The sequence below is a fragment of the Homo sapiens genome, chromosome X (assembly GCF_000001405.40).
Source record: "Homo sapiens chromosome X, GRCh38.p14 Primary Assembly".
NCBI lineage: Eukaryota > Metazoa > Chordata > Mammalia > Primates > Hominidae > Homo > Homo sapiens.
The window spans coordinates 63,765,265-63,789,396 of NC_000023.11; the positions used below are offsets into that span (position 1 = coordinate 63,765,265).

General features: G+C 42.3%; 1 protein-coding gene, 1 non-coding gene and 1 pseudogene across 6 annotated transcripts in view; 1 reads left to right on the forward strand and 2 right to left on the reverse strand.

The window, feature by feature from the left end:
* The window catches only part of ARHGEF9 (Cdc42 guanine nucleotide exchange factor 9), a 150,248-nt gene extending 130,298 nt beyond the window's left edge, over window positions 1-19,950 (reverse strand). For all 5 annotated transcript variants that reach the window (NM_001173479.2, NM_001353922.2, NM_001353921.2 and 2 more), the window contains exon 1: window positions 19,852-19,950. In NM_001173479.2, coding sequence (NP_001166950.1) covers window positions 19,852-19,881 — 30 coding nt within the window. In that variant the 5' untranslated portion in view covers window positions 19,882-19,950. The remainder of the gene's footprint in view (window positions 1-19,851) is intronic.
* On the forward strand, window positions 1,495-2,324 carry BTF3P8 (basic transcription factor 3 pseudogene 8; annotated as a pseudogene).
* Window positions 20,738-20,823, reverse strand: MIR1468 (microRNA 1468). The gene has a single exon (NR_031567.1). It is a non-coding gene; the product is annotated as a microRNA 1468 (primary transcript).

Here is a 24,132-nt window from a genome sequence, read left to right on the forward strand (position 1 = left end):
GGAGATGCTGGGGCTCAGTGCTGCCCCTGCTCCCCTCAGCTGCTTCTCAGAAAGGAAAGGAAGTAGCACCAGTTCCAAAGGCTCACTCTCACCACTCCACACATACACCCAGTTAACAAGGATAAAAAAAATTAAAAAAAAAAACCCTCGCTTAAGCAGGAGCACCAACTCTCTAGATCTTAGCAACCTTAGCAACCAGCCCTTACAATCTTATTTTATGACATAGAAAGTTGTTTCATAAGCATTATCTGATTTGTACCTCACAAAAGCCCAAGGAGACTGGAAAGGGGTAGTGGTGGGGGTGGGGTGGTTCATCATTCCCATTTTCCAGAAGGGAAAGACTGTTTCTGAGGAAGCAAATGAGTTGCCACTGCTCTTACTGCTTCATGGAAGAGTGGAAAGAACAAAGGATTAACAGCCAGAAGACCCAGTTCCGGGAAAAGTGTTTTAGAATCTGTACAGTTCTACACATTTGGGATTTTTAAAAATTGTCATGCTAGAGTGAAGCCTAGAACCTGAGTTTCCCATCCTCCCGGCCAGAATTCTTGAAGCTTTACTATACTGTTAATGGAGAAGGGAAGAGCAAATAAGGAACTAGAAAAAATTATCGCCCAAGAATAACTGCACCTTACATGTAAACGGAACTTCACAGCTTCCTAAATACTGGGCTTTTTATCACATATCAACCTCATGACAACCTTGTGAGGGAAATGCAGCAGGAAATAGGAACCTAAAATTTTAACCACCCACATACATATTTCTTATCCCTCTTCCCCGCTGTATTTTTTCTCCTTAGAATGTAAAACTACCATATTACATATTTAGTCATTTACTTAGCATATAACTTCCTTCTAGAATATATGTTCCCTGAAGACAGAATTTTGGTCTGTTTTGTAAACCATCTGTTTTGTCTGTTTTGTACACACATCTAGTGCCTAAAACAGTGCCTGCTACATAACAGATGCTCAATAGTACTGAATGACTGAATGAATGTGTGTGTATGCACACTGAGAGGAGGAAATGGAGGGAGGGAGAAAGGCCCCATTTGTGTGTGAATAAACTGATATCCAGAGGAGTTAGGTAATTTTTCTAGGAATGACTTCTGAAGTGTTTTGTTTCAGCCTGTTCCCCTCACCCTACTGCTTGGCTGGTTCAGTGGCATCTTACCTGGGCCAAAAGAAATGTTTGCTACCAATGCCTCTGTCCTCTCTTAGGGCCAGCTCCAGGCTTGATGGCTACAGGTTGCCTGAGGTTCACGGTAACAGAGTGCCTGTTATGTCTACAAAATGCATTCTGTCAGGCATCACTGCCTTTACATACCCCAATGTATGCACCTCACAAACACTCAAAGGACTTCTCTGAGTTTTCATCCTCTCTGGAATGTACAATGGTGAAAGAAGAAAGGGCAAAAGTCATTTGAGTCTTCTCAGCGTATGAACTGAGTGTCCCTCTCCTCCATGCCCTACCTGCATTTTCCTCACTAAAGAACTGTGCCCCTCTATCTCCCATCTTGTGTCTCTGCATGTGCGTGCCTAACCTCAGCTGAGCCATCCAAGACCCCTGATCACCAACCCTAGTCCCCCACGCGGCCCCTCATCCACTCCGACAAGATGAAAGAAACAATCATGGGCCAGGAAAACCCACCAAACTGCAGGAAAGGAACTGCTCACAGAAAGAAGGAGGTGGTTCATAAAACAGCCACAGCAGATGATTAAAAACTTCAGTTCTCCTTAAAGAAGTTAGAGGTAAACACTGTCTCTGGTATTGAAGAGGTGAATATGTTTACAAACCAAGGAACAGTGATCCACTTTAACAACCCTAAAGTTTAGGCATCTCTAGCAGTGAACACTTTCACCATTACAGGCCATGCTGTGACAAAGCAGCTGACAGAAATGCCATGCAGCATCTTAAACCAGCTTGGTGCAGTTTGGCTAGTTTAAGGAGACTGGCTGAAGCTCTGCCTAAACAATACGTGGATGGAAAGCACCACTTGCTACTGGAGAGGATGACGATGATGAAGTTCCAGATCTTGTAGAAAATTTTGATGAGGCTTCCAAGAATGAGGCAAACTGAATTGAGTCAACTTCTGAAGAAGATAAAACTTGAAGAAGTTACTGGGAGCTGCTATTTTATATTATGACTGCTTTTAAAAAATTTTTGTTTATGGATCTGATAAAATCTAGTTCTGTAATATTTTTAAGCCCAAGCCCCTTGGACACTGCAGCTGTTTTCAGTTTTTGCTTATAAACAATTCACCCTTTGCAGCTAATTAAGATGAAGAAGCCTGGGAATAAAGTTTGAGACAAAGGTTAATAAAGTTCTTTAGTTAAAAAAAGAAGAATTGTGCCGACCTCATAAGATTGTTGAGAAGATTGTATTAGATACACATGCAAAAACATTTAGAACAGTGCCTGGCACAAAATAAACGCTGGCTTGGGAAAGGTAAGCTATCTTTCTTAAGACATACTGTATTTATAACCTTATTCCTGGTACCCCTCACCTCTAGAATGAAGGAGGCTGGGCAGCGTTCACTCCTGGCAAGTGAGAAGAGTAATGACCAAATAACTACTATGGTGTTACACACCTGGTTTTCATTCTGGCTCTGTTTGGAGATAGTTGCATGGAGAAGATATTCCCCCTCTTCCAGCCTTAGTTTCCCCACCTTTAAAGTAGGGAGAGTGTTGTTGTGAGGATTACATGAATTCATGCATGTCAAGGCACTTTTTCTTTATTTCAGTAGCTTTTGGAGAACAAGTGGTTTTTGGTTACATGGATGAATTGTATAGTGGTGAAGTCAGATTTTAGTGCACCAGCCACCCAAGTATTGTACATTGTACCCAATATGTAGTTTTTTATTTTTTGTCCTCCAACCCTTCCCCTTCTGAGTCTCCAATATCAATTATACCACTTTGTATGCCTTTGTGTACCCATAGCTTGGTTCCCACTTATAAGTGAGAACATACAGTATTTGATTTTCCATTCCTGAGTTACTTCACTTGTAATAAGAGCCTCTAGCTCCATCCAAGTTACTTCAAAAAACATTACTTAGTCCCTTTTTATGGCTGAGTAGTATTCCACGGTGTTTATATACCATATTTTCTTCATCCACTCATCAATTGTTGGGCACATAGGTTAATTCCATATCTTTGCAATTGTGAATTGTGCTGTGATAAACATATGTGTGTGGGTGTCTTTTTGATATAATGACTTCTTTCCCTCTGGGCAGATACCCAGTAGTGAGATAGCTGGATCAAATGGAAGATCTACTTTTGGTTCTTTGAGAAATCTCTATACTGTTTTCCATAGAGGTTGTACTAATGTATACAATATTGTTTGACTCTGTGTCACCAGGCAAATTTTACCTTTAATTGTAATAATTCCCACATGTTAAGGGAGGGGACAGGTGGAGGTAATTAAATCATGGGGCAGTCTCCCCCATATGGTTCTTGTAATAGTGAGTGAGTTCTCATGACAGCTGATGGTTTTATAAACATTTGGCATTTCCCCTGCTGGTACATTTTTTCTTTGCCTGCCACCATCCACTTAAAATGTAACTTGCTCCTCCTTGCCTTCCACCATACTTGTAAGACCTCCCCAGCCATGTGAAACTGTAAGTCCAATTAAAACTCTTTCTTTTGTAAATTGCCCAGTTTCAGGTATGTATGTATCAGCAGTGTGAAAACAAACAAATACAGTAAATTGGTACCGGGAGTGGGGTGCTACTAAAAAAAAATCCCAAAAATGTGAAAGAAACTTTGGAACTGGGTAACAGGCAGAGGTTGAAACAGTTTGAAGGGCTCAGAAGAAGACAGGAAAATGTGGGAAAGTTAAAAACTTCCTAAAAACTTGTTACACGGCTTTGCCCAAAATGCTAATAGCAATATGAACAATAAAGTCCAGCTGTGGTGGTCTCAGATAAACATAAGGATCTTGTTGGTAACTGAAGCAAAGGTAACTCTTGTTATGTTTTAGCAAAGAAACTGGCGGCATTTTGCCCCTGCCCTAGAAATTTGTGAAACTAAACTTAAAAAAAAAAATTTAGGGTATCAGGTGAAAAAAAAATTCTAAGCAGCAAAGCATTCAAGATGTGACTTGGGTGCTACTAAAGACATTCAGTTTTATAATAAAAGCAAAGCATAAAAGTTTGAAAAATTTGCAGCCTAACAATGCAATGAAAAAAAAAAATCCCATTTTCTAAGGAAAAACTGAAGCAGGCTGCAGAAATTTGCGTAAGTAACAAGAAGTTAAATGTTAATCCCCAAGACAATGGGGAAAGTGTCTCCAGGGCATGTCAAAGGTCTTCATGGCAAGCCCTCCCATCATAGACATAGAGGTTTAGGAGGAAAAAATTGTTTCTTGGGCCGGGCCCAGGGTCCCTCTGCTGTATTCAATCTAGGGACTTGGTGCCCTGTGTCCCAGCCACTCCAGCCATAAATAAAAGGGGCCAAGGTACAGCTCAGGCTGTTGCTTCAGAGGGTGCAAGGCCCGAGCCTTGGCAGCTCCCATGTAGTGTTAAGCCTGCAGATGCACAAAAGTCAAAGATTAAGGTTTAGAAAACTCCACCTAAATTTCAAAAAATGTATAAAAATGCCTGGATGCCCAGGCAAAAGTTTGCTGTGGGAGGGGGAGATGCATAAAAAACCTCTGCTAGGGCAGTGTGAAAGGAAAATGTGGGGTCGAGCCCCCACACTGAGTCCCTACTGGGCACCACCTAGTGGAGCTGTGAGAAGAGGGCCACTGTCCTCCAAACCCCAAAATGGTAAATCCACTAACAGCTTGCATCTTGTGCCTAAAAAAGCTGCAAACACTCAATGCCAACCCGTGAAGGCAGCCAGGAGGGAGGCTGTTCCCTGCAAAGCCACAGGGGTGGAGCTGCCCAAAACCATAAAAACCCACCTCTTCCATCAATGTAACCTGAATGTAAAATATAAAGTCAAAGGAAATCATTTTAAAGCTTTAAAATTTAACTGCCCACCTCTTACATCAGCGTAACTGGAATGTAAAGTATAAAGTCAAAGGAAATCATTTTAAAGATTTAAAATTTAATTGCTCCGCTGTATTTGAAACTTGCATGGGGCCTGGAGCCCCTTTGTTTTGGCCAATTTCTCCCATTTAAAATGGCTGTGTTTACCCAATACCTGTACCCCCACTGTATCTAGAAAGTAACTAGCTTGCTTTTAATTTTGCAGGCTCATAGGTGGAAGGAACCTGCTTTGCCTCAAATTTTAAAATGTAAACTTTTGGGTTAATGCTAAAATAAATTAAGGCTTTGGGGGACTGTTGGAAAGGCAAAATTGGTTTTAAAATGTAAAAACATAAAATTTGGGAGGGACCAAGGGCGGAATAATATGGTTTAGCTCTGTGTCCCCACCCAAATCTCACCTAAAATTGTAATAATCCCTACTTGTTCAACGGTGGGGCCAGGTGGAGATAATTAAATCATGGGAGTGGTTTCCTCCTACTACTCTCATAATAGTGAGTGAGTTCTCACAAGATCTGATGGTTTTATAAGTACCTGGCATTTCCTCTGGTGGTACATTCTCTTTGCCTGCTGCCATCCACATACAATGTAACTTGCTCCTCCTTGCCTTCTGCCATAATTGTGAGGCTTCCCCAGGCATGTGAAACTGTAAGTCCAATTAAACCTCTTTCTTTTGCAAATTGCCCAGTCTCAGGTATATCTTTATCAGCAGCGTGAAAACAAACTAATACAGTACATTTCTACCAGCAGTATATAAGTGTTCCCTTTTCACCACATAAACGCCAACATCTATTGTTTGTAGACTTTTTAATAATAGCTATTCTGGCTGAGTAAGGTTGTATCTCATTGTGGTTTTAGCTTGCATTTCCCTGGTCATTAGTCACACTGAGCATTTTTTCATATGTTTGTTGACCATTTGTATATCTTGTGAAGGTACTTTGAAAATATGAAATACCAAATGAATGTGAAGGATTATTATTACATTGAAATAGTAAAGGCTATCATTAATTGGGCCCTTGCTATATGAAAGACACTGTACCAAGTGCTTTAAATGAATATTATTCACTTAAATTCATATTATTTCATGCTCAAAACAATAGTACCAATGACTGGATATTATCATTTTTCCAATTTCATAGGAAAGGCATGATGGTCAATTTTATGTATCAACTTGGCTGAGCCACCGTGCTCAGATAATTGGTTGATTATTCTGCATATTTCTGTCAAGGTATTTTAATAGACGAGATTTACGTTTAAATTGGTGGACTTTGAGTAAGGCAGAATACCCTGCATAATGTAGGTGGGCTTCATCCAGTCAGTTGAAGAACTTTTTTTTTTTGAGACAGAGTCTCATTCCATCATCCAGGCTGGAGTGCAGTGGTATGATCTCAACCCACTGCAACCTCTGCCTCCTAGGTTCAAGTGATTCTCATGCCTCAGCCTCCCGAGTAGCTGGAATTACAGGCATGAGCCACCGCGACTGGCTAATTTTTGTATTTTTAGTAGATACAGGGTTTCACCATGTTGGCCAGGCTGGTCTTTAATTCCTGACCTCAAGTGATCCACCTGCCTCAGCCTCCCCGACTGCTGGGATTACAGTCATGAGTCACGATGCCCGACTTGAAGATCTTAATGCAATTAAAGTCTGACCTTCCCTGAGCAAGAAGGAATTCTGACAGCAGACTGCCTTTGGACTCTGACTGCAACTCTTCCCTGGGTCTCCAGCCTGCCTACCTACCCTGCAGATTTTGGACTTGCACCACCAAAACTGTGTGAGCCAATTCCTTAAAATAAATCTCTCTTTCTCTATGTATGTACATATCTTATTGGTTCTGTTTCTCTGGAGAACCCTCACTAATAAATATGGAAACTGAAGCTTAAACAGGTGAAGTCACTTACTCAAAATTACACAGCTGGTCTGTGGCAGAGCCAGAAACCTAGGGGTCATCTTCCTTGTTACCTCTCTGTCTTATATGTCTCTGAATTAATTCACCAGCAAGTCCCATTGATTTTATTTCAAAAATGGATGTCGGTCTTCCTTCCTCTATCCAACTCCAATAGCTGCATGGATTTTTGCAGCAGCCACTCAATTGGGCTTACCATCTCCTATCCATTCTCTACAGGGCCTGCAAAAGTCCTTTTCTTGTATCACAAAGCAGACCCTATCATTCCACTCTTTCGAACACTTCCTATTGTGTTTAAAATAAATAATGCTTGCCATGTGCCTAGTACTGCCATGCACACTGTGAGCATGTTAACTCACTTAATCCTCACAATAACAGTATGAATAGTGTCATTATTTTCCTCACTTTTCAGAGGGCATTACTGAGGCACAGAAAGATTAGGTAACATTCTCAAGGTCACATAGCTAAGAAGTGACACAGTCAGAATTTGAACCCAGGGAGTATGGTTTCAGAGTCTGTGCTATTGACCACTGAACCACACTAACTTTGAGTATAGCCAATGCATACTTTCCTAGGGCTTACAAGGTTCTCTGTGAGCTGGTCCCTGCCTTACTCTCTACCCTCTTATCATGCCACTTGTCCCCCTCTCTCACTGTGTCAGTAACACTAGCCTTCTTTCTGTCTCTCAAGTGTACCAAGTTGTTTCAACCTGAAGCCCTTTGCATATGCTATTCCTGCTGCCTCCCCTCAACTTCCCGTAAGCCTCACTGTCTCTTCCTTTTTTTAATTGTAATCCAAATGTGTCAGGATCTTTCCCCAAGTCTCTACACAACTGACTCAGCTGAAATGTCACTTCTCTGGTGTGCTAGGATGACCCTTTGACAGTATATGTCCTCATGGCAATAGGATCTCTTAGAGATAGCTAAATGCATTTCTCTCCTCCACTGTCTAGTTTCCATCATCTAGCAGCTTAACCACTTACAGAACTAACCACATTCTAACACACATACACACAAACACAAAAAACAAAATCAGCATCATATGAAAACTTTAAAAGCAATGATATCTTAAGAAGAAGCTCCTCACATTATATCATAGGACTGTTTGGTGTTTTCTCAGTCTTTTCTCTAGCACAGAATCCAGGAAGCCTTGGGTTGGGGCAGGAGGGATTGTTCCTTGTGAATAAAATTCCTATTGGATTTCTTAGCACTCATAGAAGGAGAAGGTATGATCTTCTAAGGTATAAATTCAGGGAAGTGGGAAAGATCATACTCTGCCCACCCAAGTGTGTGTCTCCTCTGTCCTGTCAGGAATAATAATTACTCCCCACACAGATACAGAGTAGCGCAGTTCACACAACACTTTCCCATCTATACCTACTCAATCATCTGATTCTCACAGCAGACTGGGAAGACAAGCAAGGGCTATGTGATAGTTAATTTTAATGTATCAACTTGACTGAGCCACAGGGTGCCCAGATATTTGATCAAACATTACTCTGGGTGTGTCTGTGAGGACTTTTCCAGATGCAATTAGCATTTGAATCAGTAGACAAAGTAAAGAAGATTGCCCTCCACAATGTGGATGAGCCTCCATCCAATCAGTTGAAGATATGAATAGAACAAAAAGGCCAAGTAAAGGGGAATTCCTCCTGCCTGACTGCTTGAGCTGGGACATTGTTTTTTTCTAGCCTTAAGACTTTGGACTGAAACATCAATTTTTCTTGTGTCTCAAGTCTGATGGCTTTCAGACTGGCATTCACACCATCAGTTCTTCTGGTTCTCAGGCCTTCATACTAGGGCTACACCTACACATTAACTCTCCTGGGACTTGAGCTTGCAGAATGCAGATCTTAGGACTTATCAGCCTCCATAATCATGAGCAAATCCATTATAATATCTATCTATCTATCTATCTATCTATCTATCTATCTATCTATCTATCTACTTATCCACTCACCCATCCATTCTATTGGTTTTACTTCTCTAAAGAACCTTTACTAATACAAGGTATTACCCTCATTTAATTGATAAGGATCTGAAGTTCAGAGAGGTTTAGGATTCTGGCCAAGGACACATTGTGACAGCTGCTGGTGGAGGCAGGACTCAAACCCAGGTCCATCTGACTTTTAATCATACGTTTTTCCCATGAAACTTCTACAACAGACATTCATTTCAGTCAGAGTATTTGAGATTGCCTATCATAATATCTGTGTAATTTGCCTCTGGTTGTCAAATGCAACCCCTCTCCTTTTCCAACCCACTCTGCCAGTGTCCTGTGTTGCCAAAGGAATCCTCCACTACTTTGTTTCATCATGTATCCTTTCTACCAAGCAAAGCTTCTGAGCTCTTGTTCTAGCCCCAGTACACATTGCCAGAATTACAGGCTCCAGCCACACCAGAACACTAATGTGCTATTTCCAGAACTTATTATTCCTTTAATGCCTTGATTCTTTATCTTATGTTGTACCCTCTGCTTGGAACAACTCATGCTTCACCTACCATGCCTACTCCCCATCCTATGCAACTGTGCTATGTGAAAGGCTGTAAAAATGCAGTTTATATAAAAACCCTAGAAGATAACATAGAAAACACTATTCTGGACATAGGCCCTGGAAAAGATTTCATGACAAAGACACCAACAGCAATTGCAACAAAAACAAAAGTTAACATATGCAACTAATCAAACTAAAGAGCTTCTGCACAGCAAAAGAAACAGAGTAAACAGACAACTTACAGAATGGGAGAAAATGTTTGAAAACTATGTATCCAACAAAGTTCTAATATCCAGAATCTACAAGGAACTTATACAAATCAATAAGCACACACACAAAAAAAATACAACCTCATTAAAAAATGAGCAAAGGACATGAATAGTCATTTCTCAAAAGAAGACATACATGTGGCCAAGAAGCATATGAAAAAATATTCAACATAATTAATCACTAGAGAAATGCAAATCAAAACCACAATGAGATACCATCTCACACCAGTCAGAATGCCTATTATTAAGAAGTCAAAAAATAACAAATGGCTGATGAGGTTGCAGAGAAAAGGCAACACTTATACACTGTTAGTGGGAATGTAAACTAGTTAAGCCACTGTGGAAAGCAGTTTGGAGATTTCTCAAAGAACTTAAAACAGAGATACCATTTCACCTAGCAATCCCATTACTGGGTATATAGCCAAAGGAATATAAATCATTCTACCATAAAGATATATGCACATGTATGTTCGTCACAGCACTATTCACAATAGCGAAGACATAAAATCAACCTAGATGCCCGTCACAGTGGATTGGATAAAGAAAATATGGTACATATACACCATGGAATACTACACAGCCATAAAAACGCGAGAACATGTCCTTTGCGGCAACATGGATGGAGCTGGAGGTCATTATCCTAAGCGAATTAACACAGAAACAGAAAACCAAGTACTGCATGTTCTCACTTACAAGTGTGAGATAAACATTGAGTACACATGGACACAAAGAATGGAGCAACAGACACTGAGGCCTACTTGAGGGTGAAGGATGTGAGGAGGGTGAGGACTGAAAAAATACCTATTGAGTAATATGCTTATTACCTAGGTGAAGAAATAATCTATACATCAAACCCCATGACACACAATTTGCCCATATAACAAACTGGCACACATACTCCTTGAACCTGAAATAAAAATTAGAAGATAAAAATAAAAAATAAAATCAAAAGTACATTTAAATACTGTCTCTTGGAAGCCCTACACAATACCCTGAACCCCTCACCCACCACGTTCTTGCTCCCCTATTTCCTTACATTATCTTCTATATACATTCCTAAAGCATTTAGTCCAGCCTGTCTTTATTTCCCCCCTACTCAATACTAAGCTGCTTGAAGACATAAGCCACATCTTCCTTTGACTCTCCCACACCTCAGCCCAGTACATTTTGTGTGGGGGATAGAGGGAATGCAGGATGAGAAAAACCCCTTTTTCCAAAATCTTAAGCAACAATCCAATGTATAAAGCAAAGGCCCCAGGTGCTCTAGACCAGAGGTGAGAGATCCACACTCCTTTCTGCTCCTTTCTCCCCCTCACCAAGGCACTGCCATGGTAACCCTAGGGTTCAGAGCCAGGAGTCTGCAAACCTTTTCTGTAAAGGGCCAAATACTGAATTTTTTAAGCTTTGGGGGCCATATGGTCTCTGTCACAACTATTCAACTCTGCTTTTGTATCACAAAGGCAGCGATACACAATAAGCAAATGAGTGGGCATGGCTGTGTTCCAATGAAGGTTTATTTTTGGATGCTGAAATTTGAATTTCATTATAATTTCATATACTTGTACCACCAAACACTATTCTTCATTTGATATTTTCCTAACAATTTAAAAATGTAAAAATCATTCTTAGCTTGTTGGCTAGATTTGGCCAGCAGGCTATAGTTTGTTGACCCCTGATCTAAGGAGTTGAGCTAGATTATCCCCAAGGTCATCCAACTTGGACATTATAGCTCAGGCAGTCCAGAAGCAACATGAGCACTGTGCAGAGAGTAAAGCCTGAAACAATAGTGCTGACATGTAAATTCTAGAAAGTAGATAACAAAGTGGACTGTTCCAGGTTAGGAGAATTAAAAAAGAAGGAGATTCAAGTTCTGCTCCTACCTCTCACTTTCCCAAGCTGTACGGCACTTTTAAATGCTAGGTAGTTCATCTACCCTCAGAACTTCAACTGTCATCAATACCTCCCAATCCCTCTGAGCTCAATATCTGATCACCAACTGCCTATTAGATATCTACAATGTAAGATTGTCCAAGCATCTGAAACTCATCAGGGCTGAGACTGTACTACTGTACTAGTCATCTCCTCCCGCTAAATCCTCCAGAAACACTGCTCTATTTTGCACCCCCTATCTCCAGGAAGCATGTCATGTATTAGCCCATTCTCGAACTGCTAATAAAGACATATCTGAGACTGGGCAATTTATAAAGGAAAGAGGTGTAATTGACTCACAGTTCAGCATTGGCTGGGGAGGCCTCAGGAAACTTACAATCACGGCAGAAGGGGAAGCAAACACATCATTATTCACATGGAGGCAGCAAGGAGAAGTGTAGAGAAAAGAGGAGGAAAAGCCCCTAATGAAACCATCAGATCTTGTGAGAACTCAGGCACTATCACAAGAATAGCATGAGGGTAACTGCCCGCATGACTCAATTACCTCCCCAGGTCCCTTCCATGACACATGGGGATTATGGGAACTACAATTAAAGATGAGATTTGGGTGGGGACACAGCCAAACCATAGCATTCCACCACCGGCCCCTCCCAAATCTCATGTCCTCACATTTCAGAACACAATCATGCCCTTCCAACAGTCCCTCAAAGTCTTAATTCACTCCAGCATTAACTCAAAAGTCCAAGTCCAAAGTCTCATCTGAGACAAGGCAAGTCCCTTCTGCCTATGAGCCTGGAAAATAAAAAGCAAGTTAGTTACTTCTTAGATACAATGAAATTATAGACATAAAGATGCCTAGATACAAAGACATTGGGTAAATAAGCCTATTCCAAATGGGATAAATTGGCCAAAAGAAAGGAGTTACAGGTCCCATGCAAGTCCAGAATCCAGTGGAGCAGCCAAATCTTAAAGCTCCAAAATAATCTTCTTTGACGCCATGTCTCACATCAGGTCACTGTGAAACAAGAGGTGGACTCCCACAGGCTTGGGCAACTCTGCCCCTCTGGCTTTGCAGGGTACAGTCCCCCTCCAGGCTGCCTTCATGGCTGGCATTGAGTGCCCATGGCTTTTCCAGGCACACAGTGCAAGCTATTGAATCTATCATTCTGGTGTCCGGAGGACAGTGGCCCTCTTCTCACAACTCCACTAGGCAGTGCCCCAGTGGGGACTCTGTGTGGGAGCTCCAACCCCACATTTCCCTTCCACACTGCCTGAGCAGAAGTTCTCCATGAGGGCTCCACTGCTGCATTGAACTCCTTCCTGGACATCCAGGCATTTCCATACATCCTCTGAAATCTAGGCAGACTTTCTTGGGAAGGTTTGGCCTCAATTCTTGACTTCTGTGTACCCGCAGGCCCAACATCATGTATAACCTGCCACGGCTTGGGGCTTGTACCCTCTGAAGCAATGGCTTGAGCTCTACGTTGGCCCCTTTTAGCCACAGCTGAGATGCAGGTCACCAAGTCCCAAAACCTTACAAAGTAGCAAGGCCCTGGGCTGGCCCATGAAACCATTTTTTCCTCCTAGACCTCCAGGCACTTGATGGGAGGGGCTGCTGGGAAGACCTCTGACATGCCCTGAAGACATTTTCCTCATTGTCTTGGCAATTAACATTTGGCTCCTTGTTACTTATTCAAATTTCTGCAGCCAGCTTCAATTTCTCCCCCAGAAAATGGGTTTTGCTTTTCTATTGCATGGCCAGGGTTGCAAATTTTCCAAACTTGTATGCTCTGCTTCCCTTTTCAACATAAGTTCTAATTCCAAGCCATATCTGTGTGAATTAATAAAACAGAATGCTTTTAAGGGCACCCAAGTCATCTCTTGAATGCTTTGCTGCTTTGAAATTTCTTCCACCAGATATCCTAAATCATCTCTCTCAAGTTCAAAGTTCCACAGATCTCTAGGGCAGGGGCAAAATGTTGCCAGCCTCTTTGCTAAAACATAGAAAGAATCACCTTTGCTCCAGTTCGCAATAAGTTTCTCATCTCTATCTGAGACCACCTCAGCCTGGACTTTTTGGTCAAAACCATTCAGTGGTTGATCAGTGTCAATTCATAGTAGATCCTCTACATTTGTGTTGAATAAATTAATAACCTGAAAGTACCTATAAAAAGGCACTTTATCCCCATTTTATGTAAGATAATACTGAGAATAAAGTAGATTTGCCAATTGGTAATAGTTTCAGGACTGAGAAACGTAAAAGCCAGGTCCTAAACCTAGGCCCTAAACCATTCTCTAAGAAGCTCCAAACTTTCCCACATCTTCCTGTCTTCTTCTGAGCCCTCCAAACTGTTCCAACCTCTGCCCGTTACCCGGTTCCAAAGTTGCTTCCATATTTTGGGGTATCTTAATAGCAGTATCCTACTCTACTGGTACCAATTTACTGTATTAGTCCATTTTCATACTGCTATGAAGAAATACCGGATACTAGGTAATTTATAAAGAAAAATAGGTTTAATGGACTCACAGTTCCACATGGGTGGGGAGGCCTCACGATCACGGCAGAAGGTGAAGGAGGAGCACAGGCACATCTTACATGGTGGCAGACAAGAGAGCCTGTGCAGGGGAACTGCCCTTTATAAAACCATCAGATCTTTTGAGAACTCACTTACTATCATGAGAACAACATGAGGGTAACTGACCCCATGATTTGATTACCTTCCCCCAGGTCCCTCCCATGACACATGGGGATTATGGGAACTAAAATTCAAGATGAGACTGGGGTGGGGACACAGCAAAACCATATAACCATCCATCTAGTTTCACAAAAAGACTGTCACTAGAAGGAAGCATAGGAGGACTAGGATATGTCAGGTGTTTATTGAACCTTCACAAGATTGATAGCAGCATTTTTACTATTAGCAACATCTATCAGGCTTTGGCCCACAGTCCAAAGCTGACTACAAGCCCTTAGATTCTGTGTTTCTACAATCGCAGGCATATAGTTCAACTAATCATGACAATGACTGCAGGTTGTCTCCCAAAAACATCGTTTTTCCCTTCTTCCTCTGTATTAGAAACCCTACTCCCAATTTTTAGGTGTACACTTGCCACCTAGTTTATATAACTGCATTTCCTAGCTTCCCTTGCAGCTAGCAGCAGCCATGTGACACAGTTCTTCAATGAGACATAAGTAGAAGTATTAAATAGGACTTCTAGGAAGACTTCTTAAAAAGGAGGGGTGAAGAACTTTTCCTTCTCTTTTGCCTTCCAAAATTATGGATGTTAATAGATTTTCTTGAGCTTTAGCACTCATCTTGGACTATGAATAATGGAAGCCAAGTGCTATGGATGATAGAGGAGAAAAGTCTCTAAAGACTTCCTGAAGCTGCCATACTGGCCCAGGTATGCCTGTCTCCTGATTTTTTTTTATGTGAAAAAATAAAACCTGTGTGTTTTAAGTCAGTATAGATATACTTCTGTTATTCATAGCTGAATAAAGTAAAATCAGCTGTTAAACCTTGCAGTTGGTCATTCCATCTGGAGAGATGGCCACCGAGTCATATATGACTCTTACACAGGTCATATGGTATTTGGCATGGAATTGGTCCACAATTCCATATTCTTATCCAGAGTGGTGGCACACCAAAGGTGTGGCAATGGGAGCAGACAACCCTGAGTGCAAGCAACAAGAGTACACTAGCTATAGATAATTTTTTTTAAGACTAAAAGTCAAAGCGTTTTATATCACCTTGCACCAGCAATTTTAAACAATGTTAGAAATAAAACACTCCTTCCTTAATACAAAAAACAAACAACAACAACAACAAAAACAAAACAAAACAACTTTGGTTGGTCAAAGTTTAAAACAATTGTGGTTACTTTTAATAATATATATGAAGCTTGAAATTAGCACCTTTTTATTTATCCTTTAATCGACACTTTATTCTACATGGAAGTTGACTCAGAGAGCTCCCAGTTGCATCGTTGGCCCCTGACGCACACAGTTGTAACTACAAGTGTTCGTTCAGCTCATTTCAGTTTGTAAAGGTTCAAAATCATTCAAGATACCATTAGGTCAGTTTTGTGTCCACAATCCCTCTGGTACTATATGTTCCAGCATTTACACAGTAGGTTGAAAGTAAACAATAATAACATAGTGATTATAAAGACAAAAAAAACAGAATGTGGGTCACTTCAATTCTGTCATTCTGTGTGACCAATTGTAGTTTTATGTGTGCTTAAAATCTAAAACAGTGAAACAATGAAAATTGAAAGGTGTAATACTTCTATTTAGTGAGTGCACATTGTAGTTTATACATGAGTTAAATTTTGAATTTGAATATCTTTACCATTAAAATGTATTGTTTTCCTCGGTAATTGAAAATAAAAGAATAAATCAAGAAAATAATAAATAGTACTGATTATTACTGAAAATAATTTTTTCATATATAAGACTATTAAAAATGATCCATTCTAGATATTACAGATAAACAGTAGGTGTACCACAACACTGAAGTGCTAATAATACACTTAATCTTCTTCTCCAGAATTCCAGAAAGCAGGGTATTAATTTATTGGTAATCCACATAGAACCAAGTCTCAATTAGCCCTACCATGGTCAGAAGTCCAAAAGCAGATCACTCGAACATTGACTTAGATATGAAATGCCCCTCCATGTATAGACCCACTCTATGTTCTTTCTAGCCCCACTCTTAGCGATCTGAGGGTCCGAGCAGGTGATCAGAAAGGAGAAAGACACGTATCATCTATAAACAATGATGTCAGTCATTTCATATAGATCATCTCCACCATTATCACCCTGATCCAAGCAACCATCACGTCTAACCTGGGCCTCCTCACAGTTCTCGTCCTTGTCCCACTACAATTTAGCCTCCTGTTAAAATTTAAGTCAGATCATGTCCCTCATCTGTTCAAAACCTTTCAATGGCTCCCAATCTCACTCAGAATAATGCCCTATAAAAGTGGCTGTTTTCTCTCTGATTTCATCTATCCTTCTTCCATGTACTAATTCTTTATCCCAAGGACATTGGCCTCCTTGCTGTTCTTTAAACAAACCAGTTGTGTTCTTTCTGGATGTTCTTTATGCCTAAAATCCTCTTCTCCTAAACATATACACAGAGCTTGTTCCTGCACTTCCTTCACATCTTTGCTCAAATGCCCCTTAACTAGTGAGGCTTTGATGGATCTAATATACCATCCAACTTCCCATGTGTCTCTATGCTCTTAACAGGTTTTATTTTTTTTCCTAGTGATTACCACCTCCTGACATAGTGTATATTCATTTCTGTTATGGTTTAATGAACTTCACAACCCCTAGAATATAAGCTCCATGAAAGTGAGGAATTTTTTTTCATTGTGATCTCCCCTGAACTTAGATCAGTGTCATTTCATAGCAGATCCCCTACATTTGTGTTGAATAAATTAATGACCCGATAGTACCTATAAAAAGGCACTTTATCCCCATTTTATGTAAGAGAATACTGAGAATAAAGTAGGTTCGACAATTGGTAATAGTTTCAGGACTGAGAAACATAAAAGCCGGGTCCTAAACCTCTGATTTGTTACTCTGAGAACAGTGTTCTTTCCAATTTAGGCATACTGGCTAACCCAGCACAAACTGGCATTGCAGAAAGAAGCCAAGAATAAATAACAATTTACCGTCCAGTGTGAACTCACAGTTTAGCATCCTGTATCTATGAGACAGATTTTATTCTGTAAAATCTTGAACAATGTTTTATGTTCAAGGCCCACGATTTACATGTAACACTTGAAATAAGTTACTACAGTCAAATGTACTAAAAAGAAATCTCACTGTTATAAAAAGCTCAGTTTGTACTTCGGGCACCTTGCAAACGAAAGAACAAGGAGCAAAGATCTTTCAGCTAGCCACGTTATAAAATGGTGGCTAGATACACAATCCCTATTTGTTCGTAATGAGCCACTAGTTAAATTTTATCCAACACATACTTCTAGGAATCTGAGAATCTAAGGCCTAGAAGGAATTTTGGTGCTTATTAACATCCGCATTTAATAGGTAAGAAATCTGAGGCCCAAAGGATTTCTGTTAGTGGCAAGGCCAAAACTTAGAGGTTCCCTGCCTCTCAGGCAAGAATAGAGTTTACTACTCCCATCTCTTGAATTCTGGTAAACAGCTAAATAAATGCTTTCATCATATAATATTCATTGTCTCAGTCCTCTAAGAATATTATGAGATTTTTCCCCATCAACCAATCCTTAATTACACAGTCTCCACAAGATGTCTGCCACCCTTTTCTCTCTCATACACTGTTGGCAAAACTTCAAATTTCTTCATTAATTTAACCTGTTGTCAATGAGTGGCTCTGGGCCCCTATACTTCAATATATTTGGGAGAGGAAGTAAGTCTCACCCTGACCCAGTTCCCAGTTGCCAGAAATGCCAGGACTGGCATGGATTTTTTTCGGGTAATTTTTTTTTTTTTTTTTTGAGATGGAGTTTCGCTCTTGTTGCTCAGGCTGGACTGCAACGGCACAATCTCGGCTCACCGCAACCTCCCCCTCCTGGGTTCGAGTGATTCTCCTGCCTCAGCCTCAGGCATGTGCCACTACGTCCAGCTAATTTTGTCTTTTTAGTAGAGACGGGGTTTCTCCACGTTGGTCAGGCTGTTCTTGAGCTCCCGACCTCAGATGATCCACCCGCCTCGGCCTCCCAAAGTGCTGGGATTACAGGCGTGGGCGGCCGCGCCCGGCTTTCAGGTAAATTTAATGGCACTAGATCATCCTGAAGAAAGTCCTTTCCCAAGATCATGACTATGTTCCTTTCTTCCCCTCTCAGCACCATTTGAGCAAATGATTGGTGGAGCAGTGGGGAAGGACTGTGGCAGTCAGGAGACTCAAGTGCTAGACTCAGCTTTGCCTCCAAGGAGTTTGTGGTCCTGGGCAAGTCTCTCCCACTCTCTGGATCCCAGCTTTCCTGGCTGGACAGCAAGGACTCTAAGGTCTTTACCTGCTCTAATCTTTTCTGGTTCTACAAACATTTGATGCAGCTTTAATGGGACCTCAGGGAAGTAGGGAGGTCTGGGAAGAAGGGTCTTTTGAAGCCCCAGCACATAGGCATATGAACCGGATGCCCTTAAGAACCACTGAAACAGAGATCTAACAAAACTCTGAGGAAGGGAAGAGGACAGCCCCTCTGAATATAGTCCTAGCCCACACCAGATTCCCTCTTCCCCTCCACAATGAAAGCAAAAATGGAGTTAAATATCAGTTTTTGCCCAACCACTTCAGGCTACTTTCCTTCATCTGCGGGTTATGGGTGGCAGCGTAGAAGTGTGGGCTATTGCCATCAGTGCCTGCTGACCCAACCTAACTGCCTTCTAAGGCCCTTTTGCTTATGCCTCCCAGCTGAGGACAAAGTCATGGGGGCCTCCCACTCCCCAGAGGCCCTAACCAGGCTTAAGCTGCTCCTGGCTAAGTCAGAGAGGCATCAAAATGCAGCCACCACTTCCTCTCTGCAAAAGGAAGTCATTCCAAGGTCTCCAGGTGGAGAAGGGAACACCATGGCATAAAATGAACTGTTGGAGGATTATACTAAACACACACACAAGCACACACTCCTTGGGAGGGAGAGAAGAGCTCTGTTAACTGACTGTGGCCCAAGCCCATTTCCAGAATGTGGGTTTCTGCAGCTGTCTCTCCTTGACAAAGCCCCAAGTGTGGACAGGGTGACCCCAGCCCGGACAAGGAAGGGCTTTAGGGCTCCCTCAGGCAGCTTCCTGAGAGAGAGAGAGTGGCTCTCTGGCCCTCATGCTCTGGGGCTGACCAGGGAAAGGAGTTGCAGAAAATCTAGTTGGGGGCAGGGGGGAGTCATGCAGCTCTCCCATAAGGCCCCCTCCACAATTCCAGGCTTTGTGACCGTCCCCTCCCCCCACAACCCCGTGCCAGCTTGTCAGCCTCCTGCGAGCTTCACTGCTTCCAGAGAAGCCCTCTGCCATCCCCCTTCCCTCTCTGGCCTCCCAAGTGACCCCTGGGATGTTCCTGGGCACATAATCTGGCCCCCACCCCTATTCCACCTTAATCTCAGAGGGAGATAGAAAAGTGGAGGGGGATGGTAGGGGGGTTTCCTGGGCAGGCAGGCTAGCAGGGACTCCTAAAATGGCCACAGCAAGCTCACTGGTGTCTCAAGGACGGCGGCTAGGGCGGTGGGCAGAGGCCAGGGTGCTCACTGCCTTGTGGCTCGTTGGAGGAACTGGAGGTGGGGCTGGGGGACTGAGAGGCTCAAGCAAGGGAAGCCAAGGTTACATGCACTCACCATTCCCGATCCGCCCCTTATCCACTGCATGGTGCTTGCGAAGTCCGGCTTCTCTGAGGCCCCGTAGCTGGCGCGAGTTGTCGCGGGCTGACTAGAAGGGCTGGGCTGAAGCAAGCGAGAGCCCCAGCGCCCCCTCCGCCGCCCCTCCTCCACAGCCCTACAACCCAATCCCCTCCGCCCCGGACCTCGCCTTCAGTCAGTTTGTTCCATGCCAACCGGCAGGCTCTGTCTCTCCGCCCTGCTGCTCCTAGAGGTCTTGGCAGGGAGAGGTGCGAGTGTGGGGGGGTCCTAATGGGCTGCTTTTGTCCCCCACCAAGGCTTGAGAACTGTGGGGGTGGGGTGCAGGGAGAGGATGGGGGCGAATAGCCTCCGCCCGCCCAGGAGAAGGCAGCTGCTACCTCTGCCTGCCTCCCGCTGCGCTGGAGTTAGATGCTGTTTATTGTGGGGCTTCCCAATTGTGTCGAGTCAGCGGAAAGTCCTTTCCAAAGTTACCAGAGGTGTTGTGCCAATCTCCAGAATAATAAGATCCTGCCCCAGTGGAGCCAAGCCAGCACTCTCATGCCTCCCTCCCCCACCCTCCCTCTGCATACTCCCCTAGGGTCTTCTCTCTTTGTGTACTATCTGAGAGCTTTCATCTGCATTACTTTCACTTCTCAGAACAACCCTGTAGAGGCAGCCATTAGTATCTCCAAGTTATAGATAAATAAATGGAGGTTTGGAAGAGGGAAGGGGCATAAGGTCACATTAAAGAAAAAAAAAAGATAAATCCTCGACTTTACCCTCTGCGGCTTTCCAAGCCTCTTTCGGCTATCTCTCCCTTTCTATCTCACACACACCACTCCAGGCTTCTCCTTCATGCCCTTAGGAACATGAAAGGTAGCTTGTTGATGGACGAATTTTCCATTTGCTTATTTTGCTGAGAATGAGTTGAATGCACATCAGCGAAACAGGCAAACGGAGAAACCACCCACCTCTTTATGATTCCCCCAACTCTGGGGAACACAACACAGGCTGGTACCTTTGCTTAGGCTAAAAATTGACTTTGTCAGTCACACTAACATCTGTTATTATCCCTTATAATCCTCACAGTAACTCTATGAGATGGACACAACAAGGATTCTTAATTGCCCACCATTACAGACTTGAACACTGAAGCCCAGAGATTGAAAGACTTCTGCTTAAAGTAGCACAGCCAAACAAGACAAGAATCCAAGGCTCCTGACTAGAAGAGCAGGTCAGGCAAAGACAGAATTGCAAAAACAGAGGTTGCAACCAAAGTAAAAGGAGTTACAGTATGATATTAGAAAGAAGTTCCTGGAGATAATTGACATGAAGACATCACTGGCCTGTTACACGTACTTTATTTGTCCTCTTCTTTTTAGCACAACTTCTGCACTTCATCCAACCTGTTGTTTTGTCCATGCAGAGCTGGGCAAAGATAGAAGCAGTACCTTAATGAGCACCCCATCATGGGAGGTGTACAAGCAGAAGCTGAATGACCCTTTGGCAAGGGATTCCTGAATCAAATGGGAGGTTGCCCTGGATGACCTTTCAACTTCCCTCCCAAGTCTGGTAACCCAGGCATCAGTGATTCCACAATGTTCTCTCACTTTCCCATCTCTGGGCCTTCTTTCATGCTCAGTATCTTGGATGCACCTCCCCTGCCAACCAGCCCATTCAAACTGTCATGACTGTTCAAGATCTGGCACCAGGCACACCACCTTTAGAAAGCTTTCCAGGAATACCTCCAGGCCCTGATTTTGTCATCTTTCATTTGATTCCTATAGCACTACGATTTCACTGTCTCGATTAAAAATGATCTTTTTATTTCCTGGATGTTACGGGCTGAATTGTTTTCCCCCAAAATTTATATGTTGAAGTCCTTCCAGTACCTCAGAATCTGATGACTCGGAGAAGACAGTCATCTAAACAGCAAGCCAAGGAGAGAGGCCTCAGAAGACCCAACCCCACTGATACCTTGTTCTCAGACTTCTGGCCTCCAGGATTATAAGAAACTCAATTTCTGTTGTTTAAGCCACAGAGTCTGTGGTATTTTGTTATGGCACAGCCCTAGCGAACTAACACAATGGTCATATGAACATTTTACTGTCCCCTTTCACTTAAATGGCATTATGTGTTTTTGAAGCAGTGGCAATGAATTACTAATTTCTGCATCTTCTACAACAGTGACTGGCACATAGTAAATACCCAATAAAAACTTGGAATTTTTTGATGGATGCATTCATTCAACATTATCATTTAGCCCCTGTGTGCCAGGCATTGTGACAGATGCTCAGGATACAAGACAAAGTTCCTCATGGACCTTACAATCTACTTACAGAAGAGAGATAGACAATAAATAAGTAAACAAACAAAAATATTTAGAGATTGTAATATGTGCTCTGAAGGATATAAACCAATTTATGTGATGTGAGTAGCCCTGGAATTGTGGAAAGTATCTGTGCCGGTCATGGTCCAATCAGGAAAATAAAAACCACCCTAGGTCTTTTAAACTGCGAGCATTTAATGCATGACACTTACAGAGCTAACAAGCCAGACAGAGGATGAGGATGCAGCAACCTAGCATTTAACAAACACAGAAAGCTGCTACCACTCGTAGGGATGGACGGATAACAGATGAAGCCATGCAGAAGCTAAAATCATGGGTTGGACAGCCTATTGGAAGCAGGTGCCATGAATGGAAGAGTTGTTCAAGAGGAGCTGGAGCCATGGAGGAATACAGCTACCACCAGAAAACACCTCTCTGATACAGGTGGTGGGAGAAATACCCTGGGTTCTCCCTTCCTCCTAGCCACCAATCTCCTGTACATGTCTCCCATTGGACAAAAGAAGTGAGAAAGCAAGGAAATCTAACAAATGTAATTTTCAGGAGAAGAGTGGAGAATGGATCTGGATGCAAACAGGCCAGTGTTAATATAAAGCCTAGGGACTCCTGCAAAAAACAGGTGCCTAGAGACTCCTGCAAAAAACGTGTTGATCCCAGAGGTGTAAATAGATGCTGTTGAATCCAGTCATTATGTCTTGAGCACCTATTTGCCTAGAACCATATGAGTAGTTAGAGGAGACATAATGTAGTTGGTAGGGCATAATCTCTGAAGTCAGAACAACTTGGATTGTATTCAGTTATTGGCTTTGCCACTTACTTGGGCAGATTATTCAATGTTCTATGCCCTGACAGTTTCTTTATCTGTGAATAGGGCTGACAAGATAGTTACAAAGATTTGATAAATTTGTCCAAGGAAAGTACTTAGCACAGGGCCTGGAAGCCAGTAAGAATTCAGGACAGGACAATAGAAATCTGGAAAAGGGGTTTCCATAATCTCTGTGTTCACTCTCTTGAAGTCCTGTGATCTCCCAGAAGCCTCTTTGGTACCTAGCCAGGCACCAGCTCTCCACTCTAGTAGAGGGCCATGAGCAAAATGAAGAGAAAGACAGTCATGTCCCAGCTTATCTGTGACTCAGGTTCTCCAGTCATACAATGAACACACTAATTGTGTACCTAAGAGTGTTAAAGAATCACTGATCCATAGATATCAGAGTTGGCCTTAATAATTGTAAAGATTATTTCCTCCAACAGTCTCATTTTACTGATGAGAAGATATAGCCCCAGGGAATGGAAGGAGCTCCCAAAGTCACAAAGTAAGTTAGTGGCTGAGCTGGGATAAAAACTCAAACCCTTGATTCTCCAGTGAGTGGAGTGCAGTAGTGAAAACGGGTAAATACTGAAAGGACACAACTACTATAATTCCAAATATTGGAGGCCCAAGACTAACGTGTATATTATAAACTCTTATCTTTACAAAGCAATATTTCGTACATACATTACTACCTATTTTTATTTATTCATAAAATCAATAAATATGTGTGCCTACAATGTGCCAGGTATAGTATGTTAAGCACTGATGCCATAGCAGTGAACAAGATGGACAGAGTTCATGCCCTCATTTCTATTCAATAAACAACTAAATCTGGTAAGCAAATGTGCTAATACAGATGGTGATAAGTGCTATAAAAGAAAGAAAGTGAAGGGATAGAGTAACTCTGGGGGAGGAAAGGGAGTTTAGATAAGGAAGGCTTCTCCAAGGAGAAGGTATTCAAATTAAGGCCTAAAGGCTTAAGGCGAGCCAGCCATGTAAGAGGTAGGGGGAAAGTATTCCAGGCACAGAAAACAGAAAGTACAGAAGCCCAAAGGATTGAACTGGCATGTAATGTTGCAGGAATTAGAAGCGCAATGAGGCTGAAACCTAGAAAGAAAGAGGG